Genomic DNA, 3,161 nt, shown 5'->3' with positions numbered 1-3,161 from the left:
TATATATATATATATATACTGTGTATTCATTCATTTGCCAATGAACACTTAGATTGTTTTTCTATCTTGGCTACTTTGAATAATGCTGCAATGAATATGAAAGTGCAGACATGTCTTTGAGATAGTGATTTTATTTCTTTTGGATATATACCCAGAAGTGGGTTGCTAGACCCTGTGGTAGTTCTATTTTTAATTTTTTGAGGAATCTCTGTACTGTTTTTCATAACGTTTGTACCAATTTACACTCCCTCCCAACAGTGTACAGCAGTGAAAGCGTTTCCTTTTCTCCACATCTTTACCAACATTTGTTATTTTTTGACTTTTTTAATAGAAAAAAAATCTAAAATGCTTATAAAACCACAACAGAATCCACATAACTAAAACAATTTTGAGCAGTAAGAACAAAGCTGCAGGCATCATATATCCTGATTGCAAACTATAGTACCAAACTATAGTAATCAAAATATGGTACTGGCATAAAAGCAGACACACAGACCAATGGAACAGAAGAGAGAGCCCAGAAATAAACCCACACATGTATGGTCATCTAATCAACAAGGTGCCAAAAATATATAATGGAGAAACAATAGTCTCTTTAATAAATGGTGTTGGGAAAACTGGATATGCATATTCAAAAAAATAAAATTGGATTCTTATTTTACACCATTCACAAAAATCAGTTCAAAATGGATCAAAGACATAAACATAAGACCTTATTGTGGTTTTGATTGGCATTTCTCTAAAAAGTAATGATGTTGAGCATCTTTTCATGTGTTTATTGACCATTTGCATATCTTCTCTGAAGAAATATCTATTTGGATTCTTTATACATCTTTAGTTGAGTTATTTGCCTTTTTATTGTTTAAGTGTAAGAGTTCTTTACATATTCTGGATACTAGATCCTTAACAGATATATAATTTGCAAATATTTTCTCTTATTCTGTGGGTTGTATTTTCATTTTCTTGATAGTGTCCTTTAAAGCACAAAGACTTTAATTTTAATAAAGTCCAATTTATCTATTTTTTGTCACTTCTGCTCTTGGTGTTATATTTAAGAAACCATTGTTTAATCGAAGGGCATGAGGGTTTATGTTTTCTTCTAAGAGTTTTATCATTTTTAAATTTTATTTTTATTTTTATAGGGACAAGGTCTCACTCTGTTTCCCAGGCTGGAGTGCAGTCATACAATCTTAGCTCACTGTAACTTTGAACTCCTGGGCTCAAATGATCCTCCTAACTTGGCCTCCCAAAGCACTGGGATTACAGGCATGAGCCAGTACACCCGCTGTCTGTAGTAAAATTTTAAATTGTAAGTCTTTCAGCTTTGTTCTTCCTTTAAAATACTGTTTTGGCTATTCTGTGTCCCTTCTATTTCCATAAGAATTTTTGGATCACCTTGTCAATTTCTGGGAAAAAAAAAGTTAGTTGGAATTTTGAAAGAATTGTATTGAATTTGTAGATCAATTTGGTGAGCACTGTCATTTTAACAATATTAACCTAATCCATGAGCACAATGTCTTTCCCTTTATTTAGTTCTTTAATTTATTTCAATAACAGTAGATTTCAGAGTATAAGTCTTAGACTTCTTTTGTTAATATTTTCCTATTTTATTCTTTTTATACTATTTTATTTATTTGTTTACTTCATAGAGACAAGATCTCACTGTTTTCCTATTTCTTTTTATGTTATTCTTTTATGATATAGAGATGGGTCTTGCTATGTTGCCCAGGCTGGCCTTGACCTCCTGGCCTCAAGCAATTCTCCTGTCTTGGCCTCCCAAAGTGTTAGGATTACAGGCATGAGCCACTGTGCCTAGCCACAAGCTGGATTTCTAATGCAGAATTTAATTACAGAATTTTCTTTGGCAAAGGCAAAGCACAGTAAGTCAAGGAGGCTTCTTTCTCTTTCTCTCTCTCTTCCTACTCCTTCTTTCTTTTGAGCAAATGTGAAAAAAATGCTAGGGTGGTATAAAAAACTGTTTTTTGGAGACCTTCATGTTAAAATTTTGAAAATATTTTAATCTAAAAGTTCAGGTATAATCATAAGTAGTTGTAGAATTTGATAGGACACTGTTTGACAAAATGTAGTGAACACCTATTCTATCTGCCACTTCATATTCATTCACTCCTCTTTGGTCACATCACCTCAATTTTCCTCAGGGGATTACCTTTCCCTGACAGTCAATCCAGGCAGTTTCAGTCGTGTTGATATCACTCTAAGCTCCAGGGGTGGGCATGTGACCGAAGCCTGGCCAATCACAGATGTTTCTTCCAGTGGCCACAGAGATTGGTTCAGGGATTGGCACAGGATCAAATTCAAGCCAGTGAGAGACTCAGAATTTTTATTTTTTTGTAAAGTATTATTCTATTGATACTATTTTACATATTTATGGGGTACATGTAAGTGTTACATGTGTAGAGTGTATTATTATCAACTTGGAGTATCCATCCTCTTGAGTATTTACATTTCTATGTATTGGGAACATTTCATATCCTCTCTTCTGGCTACTGTGAAATATGCAATACATTATTGCTAACTATAGTCACCCTACTCTGCTATCAAATATTAGAAACTTTCTTCTATTTAACGGTACACTCCTTAACCAACCTCTCTTCTTTCCTCCTCTCCCACCCACACACCCTTCCCAGCTTCTGGTATCTATCATTCTAATCTCTATCTCCATGAGATCAAGTTTTTTAGCTCCCACGTGAGGGAGAAAATCCAATACTTGCCTTTTTGTGCCTGGCTTATTTCACTTAACATAATGGCCTCCAGTTCCATCCATGTTGCTGCAAATGACATGATTTCATATTTTATGGCTGAATAGTATTCCATTGTGTGTGTGTGTGTGTGTGTGTGTGTGTGTGTGTGTGACATTTTCTTGATCCATTCATTCTTTGATAAACATTTAGTTTGATTCCATATCTTTGCTATTATGAATAGTGCTAGGATATACATGGGAGTGCAGGTATCCCTTTGATATAACAATTTCTTTTCCTTCGGATGAATACCCAGTAATGGCATTGTTGGATCATATCGTAGGATTATTTTTAGTTTTTTATTTTTTTAAAGAAATCCCTATACTGTTTCTACAGTAGTTGTATTAATTTACATCCCACCAACTGTGTATAAGAGTTCCCTTTTTGAAGATGGCCAAATAG

This window comes from Homo sapiens, chromosome X (genome assembly GCF_000001405.40).
Source record: "Homo sapiens chromosome X, GRCh38.p14 Primary Assembly".
In the NCBI taxonomy this organism is placed as follows: domain Eukaryota; kingdom Metazoa; phylum Chordata; class Mammalia; order Primates; family Hominidae; genus Homo; species Homo sapiens.
Note: the sequence above shows the minus strand (reverse complement) of the source record.